Genomic DNA, 27,371 nt, shown 5'->3' with positions numbered 1-27,371 from the left:
ATGAGGATAATTGTTTTAGGTCAATGCCCAGTAGTAGGTGCCCTCAGGTGGATGTCAGCAGGCCTCGTAAGGCCCCACAGCCCAGCAAGGACTCCATGCTCTGCGGATATGCTGACTCGTCATCCGATGTTGCAAAGTTTACAACTTAATCCAGAAGACAAAAATTCACAATAAGGGTGTCCTCAATGACAGTCAGTTGTCAAGCTGTGGGGCTCCATGAGGTTCAGAGTCAAATGCTGCCAATGTCAAGGTTACCAGGGTTCTCCAATAGCTAAATCCAATAGTCAGTTCCTAACCCTCATCTTGCCACAGCTGTCAGTGGCATGTGACCCAGCTGATCACTCCCTCTTCCTGGAAACGCTTGGTCCACTTGGCTTCTAGGACTTGATTTGCTCATGGTTTTCCTCCCCGCTCACTTGTCACTCCTTCTCGGTCTCATTTCTCTCTGACCTCTTGATGCTGGAGGATCCCCAGGCAGGGTCCTTGACCCTCTTCTCTTCACTGTCTGTACTTAAGCCCTTGATCACCCCATCCAGTCATAAGACTTTATTTAAATACCATGTGCTTACTCATGATGCCTCCAGCCTGTCTCCAGCTTTCCCTGAGCTCCAGGCTCCTATGTCCAGCAGCCTGTGTCATACTTCCCTTATGTGTTTAGCAGACACCTCAAACTTGGTATGTCCAATGCAGAGCTCTGCTGTCCCTCCCCCAAACCTTCTCCACTCACAGCCTTATTTCTCTCCATTGGTAACTCCAGCCTTCCCATCACAAGAGCCAAAACGCTTGGCATCATCCTTGACTCCCCTTTTTATCTCACGGCTCACAGCCAGTCCATCAGAAAATCTGTTAGCTACTTTTAAAAAACATCCAGGATTCAACCACGTCTCACCACCTGCATTCCTGCCATCTTGATCTGAGCCACCATCCTCTGTCCCCTGGATTACTGCAAAGCTTCCTCACTGGGTTCCTTGCTTCTATCTCACTGCCCTAGGTAGCCTGTTCTCACCACCACATCAGAGCAGTCAGGTTATGACACTCCTCTTCTCAAAATCCTGCAGTGGCTTGGAGAAAAAGCCAAAGATCACGTGGCCTAGAGGGCCCCGTATGTTTTGGCCTCTCATTACCTCCCAGACCTCCTCTTCTGCCACTCTCTCCATCGCTCACTCTGCCTCCTCCACTCTGGTTCCTCCAACACAGCAGGCTGCTCCCATGAACCAACTATTCTTTCTGTCTGGAACAACTGGGTAGTATGCTTTAGAGGCCACCAGCTGGGCCTTCCACTTTTAACTCACCAGAATACAAACACAGCTTTCTGAGAATGTCCTTAAAACCACCTCTACCCCAGCCCCAAAAGTAGCCATTTTCCACCAGTGATCCAAATGGAGAGATTCAATCAAAGCTCCTGGCAGCTGATTCCCCTGTGGGCTCACGGGTCCTCACAGGTCCTCAATGGACAGGTGAGCTGGAGGAGAAAGCCAGGTGTAAAAGCGCTGGCAGAAACACCATACCAGCAGGCAGGAGACAAAATTCTAGTCCAAGACCTGCTACTAACCTATTTTTGGCACCCCAGTTTTCTTTACTGTAAAAACAATATCTTGTATCAAAGTTTTGATAGGTGGATGGATGGGGTTGAACCAGAACCTTGGTTCTTAAACCAGCTGCTTGTTGAAAATGAAGATTTGTGGACCCCAGCCTAGATCTACCTAATCAATCTCTGTGCTGGTTCCTGGGAATCTCAATTTTAATGAGCTCCCCAGATGACTCTGATGGGCTGCCAGGTTTGAACACCATTGCTACAGGCAAATGCCCTCAGTCTCTCCCATGCCTGGCATTCCATGGCTCTGCGTCTGTGTGCTTTGATGTTCCAGGCTGTTAGTGCTAAGGTGGGATGTGATCCCACCACTAGAAGAAAACAAAACTCCGCTGACATCAAGGCGGGGGTTGGGGAAGTTATTCTCTTGTTTCACACCCGTCTATTTGACAATCAGATTGTTATATTCCAGGCCAGGTCATCAGGAAACATCATCTCCACACCTCTGTCCTTTAAGAGAGGATTCAGGAATTGTTGACCTCTTTTTTTTTTTTTTTTTTTTTGAGGCAGAGTCTCACTCTGTCACCCAGGCTAGAGTGCAGTGGCACATGTTGGCTCACTGCAACCTCCTCCTCCCAGGTTCAAGTGATTCTCATGCCTCAGCCTCCCGAGTAGCTGGGATTACAGGCGTGCACCATCACGCCCGGCTACTTTTTTCTATTTTTAATAGAGATGGGGTTTCTCCATGTTGACCAGGCTGGTCTCAAACTCCTGCCCTCAGGTGATCCACCCGCCTCAGCCTCCCAAAGTGCTGGGATTACAGGTGTGAAGAACCATGCCCGGCCTCTGTTGACCCCTTAAGTCCCCTTTATTTCACACAGTAAACTTTTCAGTGTATAAAGCTGAATAATGTGTTCCTCCTTCCTCCCTTGGCAGGGGAAGTTGTGGGTGCTAACAGAGGGTAGGGGAAGCATTGAAGGTTGTATCAAGTTCCTGCAAATTTTCCTACCCTGGTGCTCCTATCTCAACCCCCGCTCTGGTATCTAGCTCCCTCAGAGCAGAGAAGGGAATGAGCAGAGCTGAATCCCCACCACCACCCTCCCTGCTCCCCACTTCGACTCTCCACCACCCTAGGGCTGGGGGAAGCTCTTGATGAGATCATGTGCTGATCAAGGACAACCTTCATCTTCCTCTTACATGTCTGACCTTACATCTTCCCCTTCTTCAAGCAAGACCAAAGTGTCTGCTGATTGCTTTTGACTATCATGTACAGGAACTCTCTTCCCCAAATCCCCCTTTCTCACCCCTACAATGTGCTTTCAGAGCTAGAAGTGAAACCACTTCCTGTTCTTTAGATGAGGACATCAGCTGATCAGAGTGGGGCACTGACTTCTGGGCTTTGCAGAGATGCCAGCACTGAGCTTTCTTCTTGAAAGGGCTATGATCTCATGTAAGTTGAGTTGTTAATGGGAAAAGCTAAAGAGGCAACGTATTTTAGTGAAAAAGCATTCGCCTGGGAGTCAGAAGACTGGAGTTCCAGTCCAGACTCTGCCTGTCGCTAGTGTGTGACTTGAGGCAAGTCCTTTCCCCTTCTTGGGTCTCAGTTTTCTGTATCTGTAAAATAAGCAAGTCTGACAATTATATTTTAAGATTCCTTACAGTTCCGCAAAATTAAGGCATAGTCAGATTTTGGTCTATGTGGACTCTTTCTTGGACAGAATTATATTCAAATTTCTACCTTCTCTCAGTGTATTTTGTCCCGGGATTTATAGGCTACTGGCTGAGGAGGCAGAGAGCTCTCTCTGCAGCCTCTTCATGTGTTGCGATTCTTAACTCCTTGGCAGTTTCATTGGAGTTGGAGGAGAGGGAGAAATCAGGACACAGTAGGAGGGAATGAGCTTATCATAGGAAATGGAAGAGGAAATGATGATGGGAGGGGTTGCTCTCAAATCTCTCATCAGGCCGGGCGCAGTGGCTCACACCTGTAATCCCAGCACTTTGGGAGGCCGAGGCAGGCGAATCACTTGAGGTCAGGAGTTTGAGACCAGCCTGGCCAAAATGATGAAACCCCATCTCTACTAAAAATACAAAAATTAGCCAGGCATGGTAGCACATGCCTGTAATCCCAGCTACAAGGGAGGCTGAGGCAGGAGAATTGCTTGAACCCAAGGGGCGGAGGTTGCAGTGAGCTGAGATCACACCACTGCACTCCATCAAAGATTAGTCTTTCTCCTGGGAAAAACAATCCGAGTAAGAAGGTCATTCAAGATTAGCATGGAATGGGTTCTATAGAAACATTGGCTGATAAGAAAGCAATAAGGGGTATTGGGAAAAGCCCCATGCTTACAGTTAGATAATCTGGGTTTAAATTTTGCCTTTATGCTTCTAGTTTTATAGATCTTGGGAAATTACCCAACCACCCTAAGTCTCAGCTTCCTCATCTGTAAAACTGGCATAATAATACATGGCTTATTAGGAAGATGATGGATGTGAAAGTGCCTGGAACATAGTATAATAAGCTCAAACCTAAAAAAAAAAAAAGTCCCTACGCCTATAATTCTATTTTGTGTTGGAGAATGCCAGTTGATTCACATTTGAAGTTCTTGTCCTAAGCATTACTATCCACCTGCACTACCACTAAGAAAGAGCAGAGCTCAGCCGGGCATGGTGGCTCACGCCTGTAATCCCAGCACTTTGGGAAGCCGAGGCAGGTGGATCACCTGAAGTTGGGAGTTCGAGACCAGCCTGACCAACATGGAGAAACCCCATCTCTACTAAAAATACAAAATTAGCCGGGTGTGGTGGCGCATGCCAGTAATCCCAGCTACTCAGGAGGCTGAGGCAGGACAATCGCTTGAACCTGGAAGGCGGAGGTTGCAGTGAGCTGAGATTGCACCACTGCACTCCAGCCTGGGCAACAAGAGCGAAACTTCATCTCAAGAAAAAAAAAAAGAAAGAAAGAAAGAAAAAAAAAGAAAGACTAGAGCTCCTGCCAAACTCTAGCCCAGCCTTTGTCGTAGCACATTAAACTTATATTACCAATTGTACCTACTATCTCCTTTCCTAGACCTTTCAGATTCCAAGGATGGAGGCTGGTTGTTATTAATCTTTGTATCCCCAGTGCCTGGCCTCAAGTAGTTACCCCGCCCCCCCCCAAGAAAGGTTCTTAGCTACATGAGAAGCATATGGAATTTGCTATTTTTTAGTTTTTGTAACAACAATAAGAATAGTGAGAAACAGTCTCTTGTATTTCTATTTCATTTTGGCTTGCAAATAATTTTGCATGTATTAACTTAGTGTAATCCTAACCCGAAACCCATGAGCAAGGTTATACCCAGCCTCCTCCATATCCCTATTTCATAGTTGAGGAAAATCAAGGCCCAGAGAAAGGGTAGGATTTATATAATTTACGTCCAGTGGTGGCATCAGAACCAAGATTCAAGCCCATGACTCCTAGCCTAGCCCAAGTGGCTAGTGTTTAGAAAATGCGTTAGGGAGTCTACTGTGTGTCTTGCATCAGCCACGCACTCAGGAAATAGGAAGTATTTAGACCCAGTCCGAGGAAAGGCTCCACAACTCCTTGTTGAAATTCTGCTCCCTCTGCAAGGCCTACCTAATGGCTGCTGGAAGCGAGCCCAGCCTGTGAATTCCCTGAGCACTTAATTTTGCCTTCTATCTCATCAGTACACTGATCAGAAGTCTGCCTGTGTCACGGGCATGTGTGTTCTCATCATATGTTTTCCCTGCCATTACCTGGAAAATGAGGATCACATGTTCTTTATCTTTGTGTCCCCTTCAAAGCCTCCCACCCTGCCTGGCTCACATGTGTTCTACAGAAACGTTTGTTGGAAGAGGGGAGAGAGGGGAAAGAATCTTGCCTCCAGTTTGCCAGTGGGCAGTAGATTCTGGAGTAGGACAGGAACAGGTACTTAGTGAAAAATCTTTAGAAAAAAAAAAATCTTAGAGTTACATGTGAGTATTTGTGAGGCTGAGAATTTAATTTCATGGAGCTATTATAAACTCATTTGATAAGTAAGATGTGCTGGCCATTTTCAAATAGGTAATTCAAATATAGCTTAGAGGACTTGCAATTGAGAGAGGGTAGAGTAGGGACTCACCATTGAACTAGAATTCAGAAGACCCAGAGCTTCTCAGCACCAGTCATGGATTAGATGAGTCCCTGGACATCTCCAGCCTCCATTTCAACACTTACAAGATGGAAACAAGTATGGTCTCCCTCCCTCAGCCTTGTTTTGAGGGTTAAATGAGATCATCCATGTAGGGACTGAGCAGAGTGCCTGGAACCTGGTGAGCCCTTGGTCAGCAGTAATCAGAATTATTGTTAGGTGTGGGGGAAGGTATTTATAATATAAGAAAGGGGCCAAATTTAGAATTTCACTCTCTTGACTACGGCTTCAGGATTTCATCTATTATCTTTAAATTGCCTGTGGCTCTAACAACCTGTAATTCTAGGGTTATGTATTGGCTCTGTGCCTACACATGTTTGGCTATTGCTGCCCATGTGGAGTTCCACCTGAGCTGGCTGTCCAGTGAAGCAAGGGGAGGGGGAGGGTGCCCAGTCTTGGATCCTGAGGAAGCACCAAGGGCATGGCACAAGGCTGGGTCGGTCCCCCTGGGGTTGAGGAGCAAAGTCCTGGGGAGCTATGCCATTGTTTCTCTCTGGCCCCAGCCTAAAATATAAATGCAGAGGCTTCCTGCATATTTCCTCAGACTCTTCACTGATCCTCATGCCTGCTCCTATCCAGCCTTCAGTCTCAAGCCAGCAGTGGTCTCGAGCCTGTGTTATCCACACCTGGCCCCTCTGGCTGTCTGATATTAAAGCAACTTTCCTCTCAGTGATTTCTTGGTCAATCCTATTTGAACTGCAAATGGTGTGTCCTAGAAAATGTTTTATTTTATTTTTTTGAGATGTAGTTTCTCTCTTTTTGCCCAGGCTGGAGTGCAATGGTGCAGTCTCGGCTCACTGCAACCTCTGCCTCCAAGGTTCAAGTGATTCTCCTGCCTCAGCCTCCGAGGTAGCTGGGATTACAGGTGCCTGCCACTGTGCCTGGCTAATTTTTGTATTTTTAGTAAAGACTAGGTTTCGCCATGCTGGCCAGACTAGCTTCGAACTCCTGACCTCAGGTGATTCGCCCACCTCGGCCTCCAAAAGTGCTGGGATTACAGGTGTGAGCCACCACACCCAGCCACTAGAGAAGGTTATAAATGGGTAGCACAAAATCTCCCCAGGATCTCACTAGATAATACTTTTTGCAATTCTTGGTAAACAAAGACAGGGAGACAGATACCCTCGGTAGTGTTCACTCTGAGTCATTTTCCCAGCAGTGGGGACAGGCTTCCTGTCAGTTTATTTAACACATACTTACAAAGCCCCCACCACGTGCCAGGCACCATGGTACAACGGTGAACAAAACCAAAAACAAACATAGTCTTTATAGCCACTGGGTGTGGGGGAGCCAGGCCTCAATAAAATAACCCCACAGACAGGCATATAATTAGGAACTATGCTAAGTACTAAGAATTGCTTAGCTACCCAGAGCCCAGGCAAGGCCAGCAAGCCAGTGTGTAGCTCATAGGCATGCCCGTGGCCTCACTAGCCTAGCACTCAAACCAACTGAGCAGAGCAGGCACAAGCACTCTTCAGGCAAATACGTGTAGTCATCAGATCTGCCCTCCTAGATGTGAACACTTTACCTGGGAAGGGCAATACCTTGGCTCTGCTACTTTGCAAGCACGTATGGTTCAATCTGTCTGTGCACTGTGCCCATGTGGATTCTCACTAATTGTATGGACTATGCCCTGAATCCCAAAGCAAGGGAATGGGATGCCATTCAGCCATCTCAGATTCATACTCCCAGGTGAGGAACTAGAGATCAGCTGAGACGCCAAAATAATTGTGAGCACGAGTTCACTGTTTCTCATGGCTTTCTTTTCACCTTTATGAAGCCATACCAGAATGTGGCCTCAGGGGTTCAGGAGCTGTCCAGGTCTGTAGATTCCCAATTTTCCCATTCAGTGGAGATTTGACAGTCATAGTGAGAAATGATCAGCCACCACTCTTCCGAGTTGAGAGAAAATAAAAATGTTCCTAAAAAGTTTGCATTTAACAGAGATCCTCTCTGGCCCAGGTCTCTCCTGTGGGCTGAGACAGAGCAAGACAGGTGACCCCTAGGGAGCCCCAGAAGTACTATGGGTGTGTGCACTGGGACTCTTCTTAGCTCTGGGGAGTAACCATGGCAACATACATGTCATTCCCGTTCAACATTTGCAGGCCTACGGAGACGCTGTTTTGCTTTTCACAGGAAATCACAGCTTTGTCATTTAGTCCTTCAAGCAGCCCACGTTGAAATCAACATGCCCCAAACTAGTCATTATCTTCCCCATCTTTACACATCCTTCCCCCTCCTAAAAACACTGCCTCCTCCCCGTACCCATGTTCCCTGCCTTATTGATGTCTCACCTGTTGCCCAAGCTGGAGACCCAGAGTCACATGTTTCCCTTCACGACTGGCTTGAGGAACTCTCATATAATTATTTATTTACATGGTGTTTCTCCCATCAGACTGTGAGGCCCTCAGGAGGCCCCAGATGTCATAATCCCTTCTGTATCCCTGTGCCTGGCAGAGTCTCAGAGGCCTCAAAAGGGCTTGTCAATATTGGTTGACCAAATGCACCCAGTCAGGGGCACATGGAGCAGTGAGTTAGGGGATTGTTTTTGAATTGGTCTCTCAGCAAGAGTGAATTTGTGTGAGTGATGCTGGCGTGCGCTGTGCCAGGGCCCCTCTGCCAGCATCCACCTGTACTGGAGCTCAGGAGGTCGGCCTCCAATTCTCACTCTTCTCTCCTCTCAAGCCCTTTTCTATTCCCAACTGACTCTACATCAGAAAGTAGCTGTGGTCTGTTTCCGCAGACCTCTCATGGCATCTGGCGGGATCTGACTTGCTAGACTCTGCCAGGTTAGGGCAGGTATGTTTTTGCAGCTTCCAAATGCAGGCCATTCAACGTGGTTCTCAGATGCCTATTTCTATAGAAACTGTGATGTTTTCTACATAATACTGAAATCCCAGAATCACAGGCTGCCTAGGAATGTAGATATGATTTTGTTCCCTGGATAAGGAAATGTAGATATTATTTTGTTCCCTGGATAAGGAAAGTGAGTACCAGCAAGGTGAAGTGGCTTGCCCTTAGCCAAACCCAGATAGAAATGCAGATCTTTTGGCTCACACAGACCAATCCTCAGTCCTTTACAGTAGGGGCTGGCAAACCTTCTCTGCAAAGGGCCATGTAGTAACTATTAAAATAATTAGGCTAGGTGCATTATACAGTCTCTGATGCAACGACTCAGCTCTGTCCACTTAGCATGAAAACCACCATAGGCAATATTTAAATGAACGGGCACGGCTGTGTTCTGATAAAACTTTATTTACAAAAGCAAACAGCAGGCTGGATTTGATCCTCAAACCATGGTTAGTCAATCCCTGCACTAGAACGCCGTGTGGTCCATGAACCAGGAGCCTTGGCCTTGCATGGGTGTGTGTCAGAAGTGCAGACTCTCAAGTCCCACTGCAGGCCTACTGAAGCAGAGTCTGTATTTCAACAAGATCTGCTGGTGATCGCACATACGCTGAAGTTTTTGAGAAGAACTGCACTGGTAGGTCTGGTTTCTCCTCCAAAGAATATCAAGAATAAATTTTATAAATTAGAAAAAGGAAGCCAAGGGAGGTTAATTGACCTATCAAAGGTCACACTAATTGGTGCATCTGGTACTGGACCCAAGTCCTAGTATTCCAAACGTACAATTCTTTCTACAAACCCCAGAGTAACCACCCCAACCCGACCCCAGCTTCGCAGTTTCTGGCTGGTCCTGACCCAACTCAAATTCACTGGAAATTCAAGTGAAGCAATCATTCACTCTTTCTCAGCTGACGTCTGAATGAAGAAGACTCTGACTCCAGCTGTGTCTCCTCCCCTCTCCCACTCCCTTCTGCAAGACCTGGGAGGGCCTGGCGAGGTGGAAATGTGCCTCAGGAGGCTGCTCAGCATCTGCAGAGGAAAAACTTGCTCACACAGGTTTGAGCTGGAGTTGAACTCCAACTTAATTCCTGCCTCAGGAGGTTTGCTGCTCAAAATAGAACCACAGAGCCAAGGAACCTTTCACTTTTCACATACAGAAGAAAATTCTAGGCTAGGCTCTTTGGCAGGACTAGACACCTTAGTTTTTCCCTCTTGCACTTGCCCATCTTGACCCCCAAACTAGTCTCTGTTCCCCTGCAGAATTCATAGACCATTTCATATTGGGCACCACCTAAGCTCCATCCCACAGCAAAACTCCGTCCTGGCCACATGCTCTGCACAGCCTGAATGTTGGTATTCTCTGTGATCTGTTTCTATTTGGTGCAAGAAGTGTTTTTCTTAGTGAGTTGGGCTTCCGTAACAGAATACCATGGACTGTGTGGCGTAAACAACAGAAATCGATCTCTCACAGTTCTGGAGGCTGGGAAGTCCAAGATCAAGCCACAAGCACTCTTGGTTCCTGGTGAGAGTCTTCTTCCTGGTTTGCGGATGGATGCTTCTTGCTGTATCCTCATGTGGAGAGATCATCTCTCTTGGTCTCTTCTTATAAAGGAACTAATCACATTCACAAGGACTCCACCCTCATAATATGATTATGTTCCTAAGGGCCTACCTCCAAATACCATCATATTGGAAATTAGGGCTTCAACATATGAATATGGGGGGAGGGGAACACAAACATTCAGTCCATAGCAGGGTTTAATCTTCTTAATCAGCAAATATGTGTTGGGCTATTATTTATTGAATACCTACTTATGGGACAAAACCATTGCATAATTATTTAATCCACTTTATGTCTCAGGACACTGAAGCTCAGTAGGATTAAGTGACTGGGCCAAAATCACACAGATAACACACGATAGAGCCTGGACTCAAACCTGTCTTCAAGTATCTAAGGTGCTCCAAGTCTGCAGAGGAGGAGACAAGAAAACAATATGGTCCAGGCCTCAAGTAGTTGGCAATCTACTATCTACATGTAAGAAATATCTTTAGAACAATCGTGTTAATATTGGCATAATGAGCAAGCACCATGGAGTGGAAGAGATGAGTTTATAAGAGTGTGGGAGGCAAGGAGGTCTTCCCTTCAGCACATGTGCCCCAGCTGCCCAGCACCATGCAATGCAGCTAGTAGGTGATCAACAAATGTTTGACGAACAAATGAATGAACAAGATGAAATGCATGTGTGTTAGTCCTGGGAGCTCAAAAAGATTTGAAAAGACAGGGAGTAAAAGAAAGGCAACATGGGCTGGGCACTGAAACCCAGAAGTAGCAAAGCAAAGACCGGAAGATGGAGACTGTTCATGGAGTTTGAACATGATCCTTTGAATAATAAGAAGAGATGAAGCTTTTTCAGCCGGGAGCAATAGGATCTGAGAGTCATGTGCAGTTTGGATGAGAAGGAAGGGGAAGAACCTGGCAGTAACAAGGCCAGTGAGGAGACTAATGCAGAATGCGGGCTTATGGCTCCAAGGCCTCAAATTGAGAGTCAACAACCCAAAGGGGAAGAATGGACAAAGCCAACAGTAAGCAAGGGATGGACAGAGGACACTGCCACACAGGTGATTCCTCCCTCCCCAAAAACCACCCAGCAGGACCCCTGCTCCTTCTCCCAACAAGCTCAGCCTCTTCCTGCCTGCCTCCACGCCCAAACCTCTCCCCATCACCAGGGGCTTCTGTTAGCAGAGCAGAGGCATCAGCAGGGACCTTTGCCCCTTTGCACCTCCAGCATGAGGCCAGCGCCCATCTCTTTTCATCCTCAGGTCTATTTATCCAGCATGTGTTAATCACTTACTTGGATCTAGCACTAGATGCCAGAAATATTTTACATTCATCGTCTCATTTTAATCCTCTACAGCACCCCCGAGGAATATTTTATAGATTAGAAAAACAAGGCCCAGGGAGGGTTAATTGACCTATCCAAGACTGCGTTAGCTGGTGGATCTGGGACTAGAGCCCAAATCCTAGTATTCCAAACATAGGATTCTTTCCACACACACCCAACACCCTCCCACACCTCCCCCATTCTGGCCAACCCTGACCCAACCACCAGAATAAGGCCCTCCCTGTCGTGACTCTCCTCCAACTTTGTCTTTCTGGAGAATCTGAGATGATATTAGTGAATGTGATTAGTTCCCTTATAAGATCTTTCTGAGATGATCTCTCAATAGTAGGTGCTGTAGGCAGCCTGTTGAGCTGTGATAAGTTTGGCCAGTGCAGATCTCTGGAATGTACCTTGTATATGCCACGCCTGAGAATCAGGATTGAGTTAAGGTGGAAAATCTTACCACTAATTGATTTATTTTATTACATACAGTGTACCCAGAATAAGATTCCTGAGCTCAGTGGGTAAAGTAATGCCAGATAATATACCAACTAGTATTTTACCTTCGAGCCAAAGAATTCAGCATTCCATTTAATAAGATCATGTAGCCAAGGCTTCCCTGAGAGGAGATGAGAAGAGGCTCACCCCCACCCAAGCTCACCTCCCTGCCTTCGGGTACCCTGTCACTGCAAGGTACTTTGTCTCTGCCTTGCGTCCTTTCAAATGAGCTTATTTTTTGAATCGGGCCTTGGTTTGAATTCCAGCTTTAGGGTATGCCAGCTATCTGATATTAGGCAAGTTTCTTAGCCTCTGAGCCTGAAGGGTTTGTTGTTGTTGTTAAGTTGGGATAGTAGTTTTTAATGGAGTTGCCACAAGGATTGAAAGAAAAACCTTTGTTGGATGCATAGTTTCCAACATTTTTCTCCCATTCTGTAAGCTGTCGGTTAACTCTCTTGATCATTTCTTTTGCTGTGCAGAAGCTCTTTAGTTTAATTAGATCCCATGTGTCGATTCTTGCTTCTGTCCTTTGTAAAGCTCTAGGCTGCGGAGTCTGTGCCCAGCACTGGACCTCACCGGGACCACCAGATCAAGATTCCATAGCTCTGCTGGCTCCCAGGCCTTAAAGGACATCCCCACCCTTGGCTTCTCTTAGAGGCAGGCTCCTGTCAGACCCTTGCTTCAGAGCCACTGGGACATTCCCCACCACACAGCTCTGCCGGGGCACTGCCTCCCCCTCTGAAGCACCTGACCCTCATGCACAGAGCTTTCAAAGTCCACCTCCCACAACATACAGCGCCTTCATCGGAGCCCTGGAGAATCCCAGAAGATAAAGCCACACAGAATGGAGGACACATTTTTCCCGTCCCACCCACCACACGAGCAGGTTTTCAGGAACCAACAACAATGGCCATTGTGTGCAGGGCCTCACACTTTCTCTTGCCTCAGTGTAGGGCTGTACTGAATGTTCTGTCTTCTGCACAGTGTGAGAACAGGTGAGGTCTCCTACCCATCTGCCCTTGACTCAGCCCATTAGGAAATCCAGCCTCCATCTTGGCTGGAAAAGCATAAATAGACCTTAGGGATAGGATGCCTCCATCCTCAACTGGAGGAAACTGAGGCCCTGAGGAGGGAAATGATTTTTCCAGGTCACACAATTAGACAGAGCCAGAACAGACACCACAATTCCAGTCCTGCCCGCTGGGCCCACATGTCGCTTCTCCCTCAGGCTCTGCAGGCCTCTCCTCCTCCAAAAGCAGTGGTTCTCCCTGCTTCTCCTTCCTAACTCTTCCCAATGGGATTATCCAGACTCAAAGGCCACTCAATGCCCTCTGGCCACTTACATGCTTTGATGGGGCTTTACAGAGCCCTGAGAGTAGCAGAAACCCACAAGCCAGTGTGGCAAGGGCATGGCACAAAGGAGCGGGGTACCCAACTGGCCTAAGAGTATCCAACCCATGCCTTAAAGATGTCTAGAACCTGCTCTGCTCCCACCTTGCTCAGCCCAGGAACAAGAGAAGGCAACCTGGATGGTTGTGGGATTGCAACACACACACACACACACACACACACACACACACACACACACACACAGCCGCAGGGAAAGGAGGGGAGTTCATTTTCAGATAAAAGGGTGAGCTCCTCCCTGTTTTGGAGTAAAAAGAAAAAAAAGGAATAAAGATGCTTCACTTGCCAGAGGGGCAAGTCACCCTAAATTCTCAAGGTCATAATCTCTCTGCTCTTTACCGTCTCTCTGCCTTTCTCTTTTTCAGAATCCTCCCCCAACCTTCTCCTTTTTTTCACTTATCCTTCCCCTCCCTCCCTTTCATTGCCTTCCTCTTCCTCCATAACCTTCTCTAAGTTACATTAATTACCATCTACAGAAGGCCATGCACTTACTGTGTAGCAAAGTCGGAACTTCTTGAGTACATCCCTTTTTAAAGAAACATAAAATCGCAGTAAGAGCAAGTGTTTCTTGAGGGCCCTCTGTGTGCTGCTCTGATCCCATCCTATTCATACAAGGTACTTGAGGGCATCCCTTCTAAACTTCGAGACAACCCTGCCAGTGACTTATTGTATCTATTAATACATTTTCCAGATAAAAGGCAGACTCGGAAAAGTTAAGAGTCTTCTCCCAAGTGACAGGATCAGACCCAACTCTGTCCGAAGCTCGTGCTGTTTCACAACCTGTCACAGGGGTACATTCTCTGTGCTGGGTTCATGGAAGACCAAGGAATAAGCCCTCTGCCTCTCTCCTCATGACAGGGTCAGTTTCTCTGGGGAAAGCATTAATCACAGAGTATTCTTCAGCTTAGTTATGGTTGGGATGCCTGAAGGCCTGGTGCTTTGAGAGGCCAGGCAGGAACATGGGGGATGAAGATGGACCAGTTAGAGCTTTCCTTCTTTACTCGTTTGTTCCTGGGGAACCCCAGTCCCCTTGCCCTGTGGAAGATCAGGAAACAGTCTTTAGGGATTCTTTCCGTTTCCCCACCCCTAGGCTTTTTTCAGGCTACATTGCCTTTGAGCTGCACTTTGAAGCTCTTTCGCCAGGAGCAGTGTTTCATCTGTGCAGACCAGTCCAACTGGGAGGCTCAGAGGAGCTGAGCAGTGCCCAGCCTTGTTGGGCTTTGAGTGCCCAAGCCACCAAGGACACATGCCCATCTCCATGGAAATTTGGAGGCAGGAGAGGAGCCCGAGGACATGCCTGCCGGCGCCTTAGTGGGCTAAGTCTGCAAAGAGGCCTGACAGCTCCCACTCACCTGTCTAGACTGTGGGGACTGAATCTGGCCCCACTGTAAGCAGAGCTGGGCTTGTGTCTTTTCTTTCTGAGGAGGTTAAGAGGTTCCCACACACACCCAGCGCTTGTCAGCTTCTCAGTAGCACAATGATAAGGGACATGGCTTTTTACAGATCACTTTCATATTCTTTATCTCTTTTGTTCTCAAAATAACACAGTGAAGTAGGGTTTATGATTATCCCTGTATGGGCCGAATTGTGTCCCCCAAAAATTCGTGCGTCAAAGAAGCCCTAACCCCCAGCACCTCAGACTGTGACTGTATTTGGAGACAGAGCCTTAATGAGGTGATCAAGTTAAAATGAGGTTATTTGGGTGGGCCCTAATCCAGTCCAACTGGTGTCCTTATAAGAAGAGATTTGGAAACACAGAGAAACACCAAGGTCCATATGCATGGAGGAATGGCCCTGTGAAGAGGCAGCCAGAGGGCAGCCAGCTGCCAGCCAAAGGGAGGGGTCTCAGAGGAAACCCACCCTGCTGGCACTTTGACCTTGGACTTCCAGCCTCCAGAACCGTGAGAAAATACATTTCTGTTGTTTAAGGCCCCCAGCCTGTGGCTGCTTGTTTGTGGAAGCCTGGTCTGACTAATACAGCCCCTATTTTCAAGATGTGAAAACAGGCTCAGAGAGAACAAATGACCTACCCTAAATGACACAGCAATTAAGATATTAGTCCCATCCTCAAGAACTTAGTGTAGAGTTTCCCAGCTTTTTTCTTTACCTCTGTGACTACAGTTTTTCTATCAGTGGCTATTTATTAAGTAGTGACAAATTCCTGTTTGCATTTCTAATGAATCAGATGCATACCCCTCCCGGTAAGAGCTCAACATGAGCATTGGCTAACTAGCATTACCCACTGAACTGACAGGATTCCAGCCCAAACAATAGCACCTAACATCTCAGCACGCCAGTGCTGCTGTAACCCAGGTAAACAGACAGGGCCCACAGGTTTTATCACATGACACAGATGCTCTAAGGTATGGGGCAGGCTTCCTTGCCACCATGGTGGTGTGGTTTAGAAATTCTGTTGGCTCCATACATAGTCAGGGGCCCTGCCCCTCCATTCAGGGTTGTTTGATTCCCTGGGCTGCTCCATGGCAGCCCCAAGACCTGAACCCTGGTGTGCTGATGGAAGGGGAAGTGGAGTGGGGGTGGGATTGAGGGTAGCAAAGCATCCTCTTAAGCTAAGGATATCCCACACTTCCCAAAGGCATTGCAAAAGGCGAGTCCAAATCAGGACACCCAGAGATTCCCCTGCCTCTTAAATGATTGATTGAATTTTCACTAATGCAAAAAAGCAAGCGGGCACTGGGCGCGGTGGCTCACACCTGTAATCCCAGCACTTTGGGAAGCCAAGGCTGGCAGATCACCTGAGATCAGGAGTTCAAGACCAGCCTGGCCAACATGGTGAAACCCCATCTCTACAAAAATTAACTGGGCATGATGGTGGGTGCCTGTAATCCCAGAAAATTGGGAGGCTGAGGTGGGAGAATCTCTTGAACCTGGGAGGCAGAGGTTGCAGTGAGCCAAGATCATGCGATTGCACTCCAGCCTGGGAGACAAAGCAAGACTCCAAATATCGGGGGAAAAAAAAAAAGCAACTGGGATGAGAATGGACAGAAAAATTATGCAATAAAGGAGAGAGGCAAAAACCAGGCTGGGTAGAAATTGACTGTCATATGCAGATTACATGAGTGAATTCATGGAAAGCCTGTTACCCAGTACAATCTGGGCAAGTACAGTCAGGTTTCTATATTCATGGGTTCTGCATTTGTAGCTTCAACCAAGAGCAGATCAAAGATTTTTTTCTAAATGGATGGTTATGCCTGTACTGAACACATGTAGACATTTTTTCTTGTCTCTATTCTTTAAACAATACAGCATAACAGCTGTTTACAGAGCATTTGCATTGTGTTAGGTATTATAAGTAAGCTAGAGATGATTTAAAGTAACAGGAGCATGTGCACTGGTTATATGCAAATTCCACACTATTTTATATCAGGGACTTGAGCATCTGTTTTGGTATTTGCAGGGGTCCTAAAACCAATCCCCCATTGATAACTGCAGACAACTATAGTTATTATTATTATTATTGATTATTATCTCTTTCCTTCTTCTGGCCAAACCTGTCAAAGTCTTTGGCTCTAAAGCATCTATATTATTCAGTTTATTCAACAAACATATATCAAGAACCTTTTATATGCCAAAGGCTGGTCTAGTTGCTAGAGATACAAAGATAAACAAAACAAGAACACAGTCCTGCCTTCAACTCGCAATGGAGTTGAGAGAGTGATATGTACAGAGACAGTTGTTGGGTGAGATCCACTATCTAAGCACAGAAGAAGGAACTAGCATGGTGCTTGGGGCATCCCAGGAGGCTAAACAGGAGTTGTCCAAGCAGAGGGATGTTTGCACACCTAGCTAAGGAACTTGAACATTGTTTTTGTTTTTTGTTTTTATTGTTTGTTTGTTTTGGCTTCCAGATGTTCCCAAAGAAAGACTGGACATGTCAGATGTTTCCCAGAGTGTTCTGCTAGCATTTACTCATCAGTGTCAAGCTCATCTGGAGTTCTGACTTTTACAGGAAGTGTAAAACTATGAGGAATATTGAAGATTTAAGAAAATGGTTTTAGCCTTAATATTACGGCCTAGGGACTCTTGTACACAGCTCTAAGAAGGTAGATAGACTGACCATTGGGAGTTGTCCGGGTGAATGTGGAGAAAAAGGAAAGTGAAACTAATGTATTTTGGGTGCCCACTCTGTGCCAGCCACTTTCACATTCAGGTCTGCCATTTAAATCTCATAACCCCACTTTGAGGTCAATATTATTATTTCAAATTTTCCATTGAAATAGCAATAGATCAAAGCAGTCATGAAATAACTTGTTGACATTCTTCTTCACTCCAACTTCTGTATATATTTTGGGCAGTTTTCTTGCCTAAGGCCCAAGTTCTCAAACTTAAGTACGCCTCAGAATCTTCCAGAGGGCTTGTCAGAACACAGACTGCTGGGCCCAAACTCCAGACTGTCTGATTGGGTAGGTCTGGGGTGTGGCCTAAGAATTTGCATTTCTAACAAGTTCCCAGGTGATGCTGAGGCTGCCGGTCCAGGACCAGACTTTGAGAACCACTGACCAATGGGAATGATCCACCCAATAACTTAGCCCAGTGGTTCCCAAACTGTGCTCATTTTTTCATCATCTGGAAATCTTTAAAAACAAAGACCGATGCCTAGCTCCTATGCTCACACATTCTGATTTAATTGGTATAGGGTGCAACCTGGCATTGTTGTTTTTAAAAGCTCCCCAGGTCATTCTAACGCTCAGCAAAGTTTAGGAACCACTGGCCTAGCCTCATTTCTCCTAGACTCTAATCCCACCCTCCAACATCCACTTCAGCTGCCCACCACTGGGACTACAGGTGGAATTTGTGCATCGGCTAGTGCTTTTCACAGCACCTCTCCCCAACCCTCTCTTTCACTGTCTCAGAACAGCTTTTTCTAGAACTCCTTAAGTCTCTTACTCACCTTCTCCCTTTTCATTCAGTCCATCTCCTTTCCTATTCAACCCAGACCCTGTGGCACAGTAATTACTGCAGCCATCTCCTGCCCACAGCCAATATCATCAATGCCCTTATCTTCCTTGTTCTTTCTTTGACTATATCTACCTGGGAGGGTTTGAGGAGGAGCATCTAAGTCAAACTGCAGGCACAGAAGTTTGAAGTTCATTTTGAACTTGTGGAAGTTGATGACACTTGACCTGAGTTTTGATAGACAAGTGAAAGTGGGAGAAAGTATATGTAGAGTACATGTAAAAGCACAGAGGAGGAAACAGTAGGGTTTGCCTGGGGAATGACATGTTGTGTATGTCTGCGGCAGGCATCTAGCCCCACAAAGACAGGAAGTAAAACTGCAGAGGCAGCCCCTTGCCAGATGGGAATTGGACCTTGGGCATCAAACCAGGGAATGTGAGCATTATTTTTATAACTGTGAAGAGCAGTTGATATGTTTTTATACATGACTTTTGTTATAACATTAATGCACACTTATAAAAAATAAGAAATACCAAAAAGCGTAAAGAAGAAAATAACAATTACCTTTAATTTAATTACCTAGAACTCACCACTGTTAAGATTTTGTTGGGATTTGTCCTTTTCTTTTATGCATATTCTTACCTAGTTGAGAGAATGCTATACAAGTAAGTTTATATCCTGCCTTCACACTTAACATTTTAACATAAACAATATTTAATGTTATTGAAACTTTGTAAATATTTTAATGTCAGCAAAAAAATTTCATCATATAGATACCATATCACTTATTTCACTTATTTAACTATTCCCATACAGGAAGAAATGGGGGTAGGGAGATTTCCTGTTGCAAATGATGCCACAATGTACATATTTGTATGAACTTAGTTTCTATCAGTGATTTTCATGATCAATACCAAGAAAGAAATTAATGGATCAAGCAGCAAGGAAGTTTTATACTTAGTAAAATTGGCCAAATTGTTTCCTTCCTATCAGTTTACGTTTTCAGTGTGAAAGTATGCACACTGCATATTCCGTTCCCCAGCACTTGGTGTTTTGTTTGTTTGTTTGTTTTAAGACAGAGTCTCACTCTGTCACCCAGGCTGGAGTGCAGTGGCACAATCTTGGCTCACTGCAATTTCTGCCTCCCGGGTTCAAGCAATTGTCCTGTCTCAGCCTCCCAAATAGCTGGGATTACAGGCACCCACCACCACACCTGGCTAATGTTTTTTGTATTTTTGGTAGAGAGGGGGTTTCACCGTGTTGGCCAGGCTGGTCTTGAACTCCTGATCTCAGATGATCCGCCTGCCTCAGCCTCCCAAAGTGCTGGGATTACAGGCGTGAGCCACCATGCCTGGCCAGCACTTGGTATTATGATGAGTGCCACTGAGGATTTTTCATATGGGGATGACATAATCAGATTTGCATTTCCTGGAGGCTGAACTGGATGGGCCAGATTGGAACCCCCACTGTTGTCCTTGCTTTTCCTCCCTTGCCTCCACATTCTCCTTTTTCTATTTTCCCATTTGTTATCATCCTCTTTTCTTGGAGTGCTTATATTATATGTTCACTACACACAAAACACTGTACAAGGCTTTGCTACCAAGGAATAAATAAGAGCAGTATTGAAAGTCCTAGCTCTATGGATGTGACAAGCTCATGCTGGCCCAGAGACCCTCTTCCTCTAGCTCTGGCCAAAAAGAGTCTCTGGACAGTAATTCTCCTTAGGAAAAAATACTTTTTATATTTTCCAATGAAATTGCCAAGTAGGTTTATTGCTTAATTATTTTTTTCTTCATCCTGTGACTTTCCAGCCCCACACATGATCATCCCTGTGCCTGGAATGTCCTTCTTCCTTCCTCTTTTCAACCCAAAAATTACCTTGGCGCTCATTCATCCTTGAAGACCTCTTTTAGAGGTCTGGGACACCTGCCTTCTGTACTTTGCCCCAGCAGAATCAGTCACTCAGGCTTCCTTGATCCTGCAGTTCAATTGCAGCATTTTCTACACCTAACTTGGTTTCTCCCTCTTGGCTAAGAGCCCTTCAAGAATAGAACATTTTGCATCCCAACTCTTACAAGACAGTGTCTGGCACTGAGTTGTTACTCAGTAACTGTTGAATGAGTGAGTGAGTGAGTGAGTGAGTGAGTGAGTGAGTGAGTGAATTCCTGTTTTACTAAGGTGCATACACATTCCATCTTAAATACTAGTCAGTTGAAGAGTGTAAAGACAATATGGAGATGACATGAATTGCCAAAATCACACCCTGAATCATTGATGCTTAAGGTAAAACAGACACCTGGTATACCAGATGTCTCAATCTAAACATTAATTCCTCTGTGTGCCTAGACACTGACTTGCATTCTGTTCTTTTTCATTTTAACTCCAAATTTAAGTTGTACCTGAGTATCTCTGTGATAGAGGAAGTAAAGGGGATTAAGTGATGCCAGAATTTCCCAAAATGCGTTCCTAAAAAATGGAAGCGGTGGGTTGTTTATAGGCATCACACACAAGAAAAGGGTCTTGTGGTCTTATAACTTTGGGAAACAATGTTACATAGATTTCTTTACCTCAAGACCTCTGTAGGCATTCTAGGAAGTAGAAGGAAAGATGAGTTCGGCAATGGTAGAGAAGTAAAAGAGCAACCAGGTCCTGCCTCAGTGGTAGTCATCTCAGCCTCTCTACACCAGGGAAAACTCAAAGGCAGGATGGCAAACAGTATGCCAAGATCCTAGCCCCTTTCCCTACAAATCTCCTCAGTCCCACATCTGTGTAAGCCCCTGCCCCCACCCACCCACCATGCTGATGAGATCAGCCTTCATTACTTCTCTTCTAGAGCCAGGAAGCAAGGTAATGTGTGGGAAGTGATAGCTGCAAGGTAATGTGTGGGAAGTGATAACAACTTCGGAGTTAAAGCCATTCAACGGGAAAATTTGTTAAAAGACCAAGACATTGTAAAGCTGAAACACTTGAGTCTATTAAGTCCCCTGCTTCTTAGAACATTTTGTTACCAGGGAATGTTTTAAGGAGGGAAAACATTGGACTATCACAGCACCATCAGACACCAAAGCCTGGTACAAAGAACAACAGTTTCCAAGACATCTGTCTCTGCCACTCAAGAGACTTCTGCAAAGTTCTGCTTCTCTTTTCTCCCCCTCTCTCCTATCCCAACATCAACCCTCAAACCCCCTCACCCCTAGACATACTCTATACCTTTCTCTCCTCCTCCTCACCCTTTTCCTCTCCCTCCTCCTTCTCTCTGTCTTTATCTTACACACACACACACACACACACACATTTATAGCCCATGTTGTTTTCACAGACACTATTGGAATGACACAGTGAGCTAGACCATCCAACGTTATTCAACCCTCTTTGGTAAGAAGGAGGCTAATTAAGTGACTAGAGGTTTAGACATTCATTGTTTATTAGGTCCAAACTCCTTCAGAGAGCCTGGAGCATTCTCCTAAACAAACATTACCCTTTCCTGGCTTCTTTTTCCAAGTCCAAATGAGATGGAGTGTTTAAGGAGACAGTATCTTTTCACAAACATGAAGAAAGGAGTACTAGGGCAGAATGTGATTGTCAGTAGATGTAGAGGGGGAAAGCTATGTGCCTGTCACAGAAAGACTGATGCAAGCCGTGTATCTGTTGGCAGCTGATGTCCATTAGTGATGTCCATTAGTGATCGTCAGTAATTTAGACTAGCAATGTTGACACATTTGTGGTCAGCCCAATGGTTTGTTTAACTGTCTTCACTAGGAATACATCCGTCAAGAGATTGTTTTTTAAACAATAGTTAGCCTTCTAAACAAGAGTAAAGACAAACTCAAATATCTCCTTGCCAATCTTAACACTGTTATACTATACCAGGAGGCACTTTAGAAGACAGAAGCCACCTGTTATATAAGCAATAGCATTAACATAGACACAGTTTTCTAGTTTGTGGATATTAAGAGGATGTTAGTGATTAGCCACAACTTATGAGAAAGCTACTCTTGCCTTGGTAGGCAAAGGAATGGAAAGCTTTTTTAAAATCTGCCGTTTTATTTTGCTTCTGTTTTAAATAAATGAAAGTTGTGCTGGAAAAGTGAGTTTTGAGCCCAACATCAAACATTAATCCTGCTACTGCTTTCACAAGAAACTGGGGAAGCACCATCCAAGCCTCAGCAATGCTGAAGAAAAGGACCTCATCTAGGTTGTGAATGAGAAGCAAATCCCACTGTGGGAGACCACTGGTCCTGAGTGACTCTGAGCCTGAGCCTCCTACTTCCTGCCCCTCCTTTTCTACTGTGGGCTCACAGACTCTGATGTTGGTGAAATGTTCTTTTCCTTGGCTTGGATTAGGCACCTGGTGTCCTGAAAGAGGTCATTGGTTTTCCTGAGGACGTCCAAGGAGGCTGGCTCACCAGTGGCTTACCACAGGCCAAATTTGAGGTTAATTAACCATCAGTCATTGTCAGTGGGGCCAAATGTTATTCAGACATTCAGAGAAGAGAGACTTGGTCCAGCTTTGGGTAATGGCCCTCATTAACATTCCTTCCTATCCTAGTTCCAAACCAATATGTCTTTAGCTGCATAGGGGTTGAAAATAATCAGAAATAGCTGGTTCATCATTTATGTCACTCTACATTTGAAGAGACTTCTTGATATGGTAACCTATTTATTGGATATATATGATGTCTGAATCAAAATCTTTTTTCACTAAAACTGACCATCTCCTCATGAAAAGGTACATTTATTGATCTTTGGGGAAACACCCTATTCAGAGTGAATATGAAAAAGGTGTTTGGTGGGAGATGAAGGGATACAGACATTGGCCATCTGGGGACCAGACTTTCTGGCCAGAACTTGTCTGAGGAACACAGAGATGTGTATGCACTACTTTTGCTGTCTCGCTCTGCAGACCTCAGTGACCAGCTCCTTGAAGTGGTGGGGCTAGAAGGAGCCATGGAGATGGGGCAGATCTACACCGGCCTGAAGAGTGCAGGCAGGAGGCTGGCCCAGTGCGCCTCTGTCACCATCAGGTATGCCTCTTTGTCACCCAACAGCCTCTGCATCTCCCCGCCTGCGTACACATTCATGCAGACAACTGAGAAGCCATCTTTGGATTTTAGGGCAGGGAGAGTGCAGCACAAAAGCTTGATAATGTTTGTAAAGAACGTCTTTGTAGACCATTTCCCAAACAGGATATAATGCGCCCATCTAAAACATCAACTGGAGGACACACCACAACCAGTTTGCTGTTCTGTTAAACTGAGCTGGTGAAGTTCTCTAAACAGGAGTATAAGATTAAATGGTCCAGAGAACCAAAGGTCCAACTCCTTGGTGTTTTTATATTTGCAAATTAAAATGTTAGATAGATGGCAGAGGGATGCCAGAGGGCACACTCTGATAAAAAAAAGATGTCTCTTCTCTGCTCTACTCCTTCTCAGACAGTGACCTGAGAAACACTATTTCCTATACACCTTTGTATGCTAAGCCATCAACATCAGCAAAACTGGCATAATTGACAGACAGGATGACAACTCTAGGGGATGGACCACACAGGTTAGCCACTGTAGGCTCCTGGAAGAGATGAAGTCTAATCGAGAGGATCCTCTGATTTCAGTTGCCTCTGATTAATCAATGCAGCTCATCACATTTTGTCTGAGATTCTTCTCCCACCTGATTATTTCAGAAGTCTTTATTCCTTTCCTTTTTCACTGAATTACTATGGACCAAATCTATTAACATGCCTTGGGGATCTCCGAGAGGAGTCCACAGGATACTGGGTTTCCCAAAGGTATTTGACCACAGAACTCTTTTCTCCCAGAACCTCCTGGGCAAGTGTCATCAGAGCACATTGGAAGAAACTCTGCCCTTGGCACCACACTGCATTCCTCAGAAAGGTCCCCAGAGCGGATTCCCTGAGGTCTCTTAGCTGAAGGTCTGCTCCACTGACCCCTTTTCTTCATTTCCCCTCTTTGTTTTCTGTCTTTTCTATTCCCCAAAGCTTTGCTCTCCTTTCTTTCTGAGCTGTTGTCATGATGGGGTCCCTGTTTTCCAGATTAATTCTTGAGGCCTGTCTATTCTCCAGGACTCTAATACTGAGGAGGTCCAGTCTGTTAACACATCTAAGCCATAACTTATGAAGACCACAGAGAACAGAACATCCTGATCCTTGAGGAATCTGAAAGCCATGTATAAGGAGGAGGACTTTTTCTTCACATTCAGTAGCTCTATTTCCAGATAGAAACAGAGGGGGTGAGCCAGGAGCCCCATCCTCCTGGCCATTTCCTGAATACTATCCCCAGCCTCAAGAGCCAAAATGCCACTCTTTACTCTTGTTTTTGTTAGTAGATTTATTGTTTTTATTATTAAATACCCTCAGGGTCAATCAGAGAATCATCACATCAGAAGATAGCTTTTCCCTCCCATTTTATAATTTCAAGAACAGAACAGTTGCCATACCCAGGTGAGGGCTTCTATGTCAATGGGTGATAACTGTTCCCTGCTCACCCAGACCAGAGGCCTCCAAAAGAGCCTGCCTTTTCTTCCAAAAGCAATGTATTATGAATTCATAACTCTTCTGCAGAGGGAAGTCAGAAGACTTCATCTCTCTCCTTTTAAAACCTATGGCGGGCTGTGGTGGCTCACGTCTGTAATCCCAACACTTTGGGAAGCTTGAGGAGGGAAAATTGCTTGAGGCCAGGAGTTCAAGACCAGTAGGGGCAACATAGCAAGACCCCCTTCTACAAAAGATTTTAAAATTAGCCAGGTGTGGTGATGTGCACCTGTAGTCCTAGCTACTCAGGAGGTTGAGGTAGGAGGATCGCTTGAGCCCAGGAGGTCGAGGCTGCAGTGAGCTATAATCATGTGACTGTACTCCAGCCTGCGAAACAGAGTGACACCCTGTCTCTTTTTAAAAAATTCATATGCCAAGGTCAGAAAAGCCTTGCCTCAAGCAAGAAGGCAACACTTTCACCTCTCCTCTGGGGAGAGTATTCCTAGATGACCCCCTTTCCCAGGTAAGCCAGGCCCACAGTCCATGCAACCCCAGAGTGTGCTTATTCAGGAGATTTTTAAAAAGGATTGAGGTTGGGCCAGGCGCGGTGGCTCACGCCTGTAATCCCAGCACTTTGGGAGGCCAAGGCAGGCAGATCACGAGGTCAGGAGATCGAGACCATCCTGGCCAACATGGTGAAACCCTGTCTCTACTAAAAATACAAAAAAAAATTAGCTGGACATGGTGGCAGGCACCTATAGTCCCAGTTACTCGGGAGGCTGAGGCAGGAGAATGGTGTGAACCTAGGAGGCAGAGCTTGCAGTGAGCCGAGATGGTGCCACTGCACTCCAGCCTGGGCGCAGAGCAAGACTCTGTCTCAAAAACAAAACAAAACAAAAACCAGGACTGAGGTTAGAATAGATTGCAAGGCAAGACACACTCAGACCTGAGCTGTATGTTGTATAAATTGGAGACATTACCTCATTGACATGATGCAACCTCTCACTCAACATAGAGACCAGGCCAATTCCCCTTTCAGAGTGGAGTTTTTGGCACGTACTCTGGGCCTTCTAGCTGACTGTTTGAGGAGCACCTGCTCAGTGGTGGCGCTGCCACGCTCACTGGCCACTGTATCCCAGACTTCTGTGGACTTCACTGCTCATCCACAGCAGTATTTCTCAAAGTGGGGTCTGAGGACCGAGGCAGTAGAATCCCCTGTAGTGCTTATTAAAACACAGACCCGGCCGAGCGCAGTGGCTCATGCCTGTAATCCCAGCACTTTGGGAGGCCAAGGCAGGCGGATCACCTGAGGTCGGGAGTTTGAGACCAGCTTGACCAACATGGAGAAACCCCGTCTCTACTAAAAATACAAAAAATTAACTGGGTGTGGTGGCACATGCCTGTAATCCCATCTACTCGGGAGGCTGAGGAAGGAGAATTGCTTGAATCCGGGAGGCAGAGGTTGCAGTGAGCCAAGATCATGCCATTGCACTCCAGCCTGGGCAACAAGAGCGGAACTCCATCTCAAAACACACACACACACACACACAGACACAGAAACACAGACCACTGGGCCTGGCCCCCAGACCTGCCAAGTTAGACTCCCTGAGGTGGTCTCAGAAATCTATTTTTAACAAGTTCTCCAAAAGAGTCTTAGAGAACCACACTTAGGTAGGCAGATAAGGTTTTCCTACTTCTGTTTTCCTGGTGGGAATAACCTTGATTCTCCCACTTGAAAAAGCTCACTGTGTTCTCTTGGTGTTCTGGGTTCCAGGACAAACAAGCTGCTGCCAATGCAAGTGGATGGAGAACCCTGGATGCAGCCATGTTGCACGGTGAGTCTTGCCAATCTTTGAGATGGGGATGAGAAGCCTTATTTTTGAGCCCTTTTGGGCACTGACTTAATATGAAATCACTGAATCTCAGAGTCACAGGGACTGTGGAAGATTATCTAGTGCAACCCCTCTTCCACTTTATTATCCATCCACTCATTTACCTGGCAACTCTTAATGAAAACCTGCTATATGCCAGACACTGTGAAGCGCCGGTCACAAAATTGAATGAGACATAGAACCAACTTCGAGGAGTTCACAGTTCTAGTCAGTGAATTCTGAGACTTCATCTACTGTATCCTGGACAGCCTCAGCTTGAATCATGTCAATGGCAAGGAATTTACTACCTCAAAAGGAAGACTGTTCTGCTGATGAACAAGTCAAATTGCTTCCTTACGTGGAAGCCAAATCTACACACTTACCTTACCTAGAATTTGGTAGGGTAGCGCCTTTGACTGCTGGAGCTCCCGGGAGAAAATTCCTCGCAGAGCACAGACATGCCTCCCAGTCGGTGCACCCAAAGCCCTGATAACCTACTTGAAAATTCCACTGAATGAGTCACCACGCAGGTTATCTATTTTGTTTATGGCACTGTCACCCAGAACGTAGAACAGTGCCTGGTTTGTAATAGTTGCACAATAATACATGTCAAATGATGAATAAAAGACTGAACAAATGAACTAACAAAAATAGACTATCTCCATTCCCAGACTTACCATATCCGTTAGCTCTCCCTTTAGCACTAGGACAGGAGCCATGCATCCTTCCTTCTTAGTTTGTCCTCAG

General features: G+C 45.8%; 1 protein-coding gene across 3 annotated transcripts in view; it reads left to right on the top strand.

The window, feature by feature from the left end:
• The window catches only part of DGKG (diacylglycerol kinase gamma), a 215,034-nt gene that overhangs the window by 174,044 nt on the left and 13,619 nt on the right, over positions 1-27,371 (top strand). For all 3 annotated transcript variants that reach the window (NM_001080745.2, NM_001080744.2, NM_001346.3), the window contains 2 exons: positions 23,173-23,293; positions 26,528-26,588. In NM_001080745.2, coding sequence (NP_001074214.1) covers positions 23,173-23,293; positions 26,528-26,588 — 182 coding nt within the window. The remainder of the gene's footprint in view (positions 1-23,172; positions 23,294-26,527; positions 26,589-27,371) is intronic.

This window comes from Homo sapiens, chromosome 3 (genome assembly GCF_000001405.40).
Source record: "Homo sapiens chromosome 3, GRCh38.p14 Primary Assembly".
NCBI classification, from domain to species: domain Eukaryota; kingdom Metazoa; phylum Chordata; class Mammalia; order Primates; family Hominidae; genus Homo; species Homo sapiens.
Note: the sequence above shows the minus strand (reverse complement) of the source record. Positions and strands in the feature narration are given on the sequence as shown.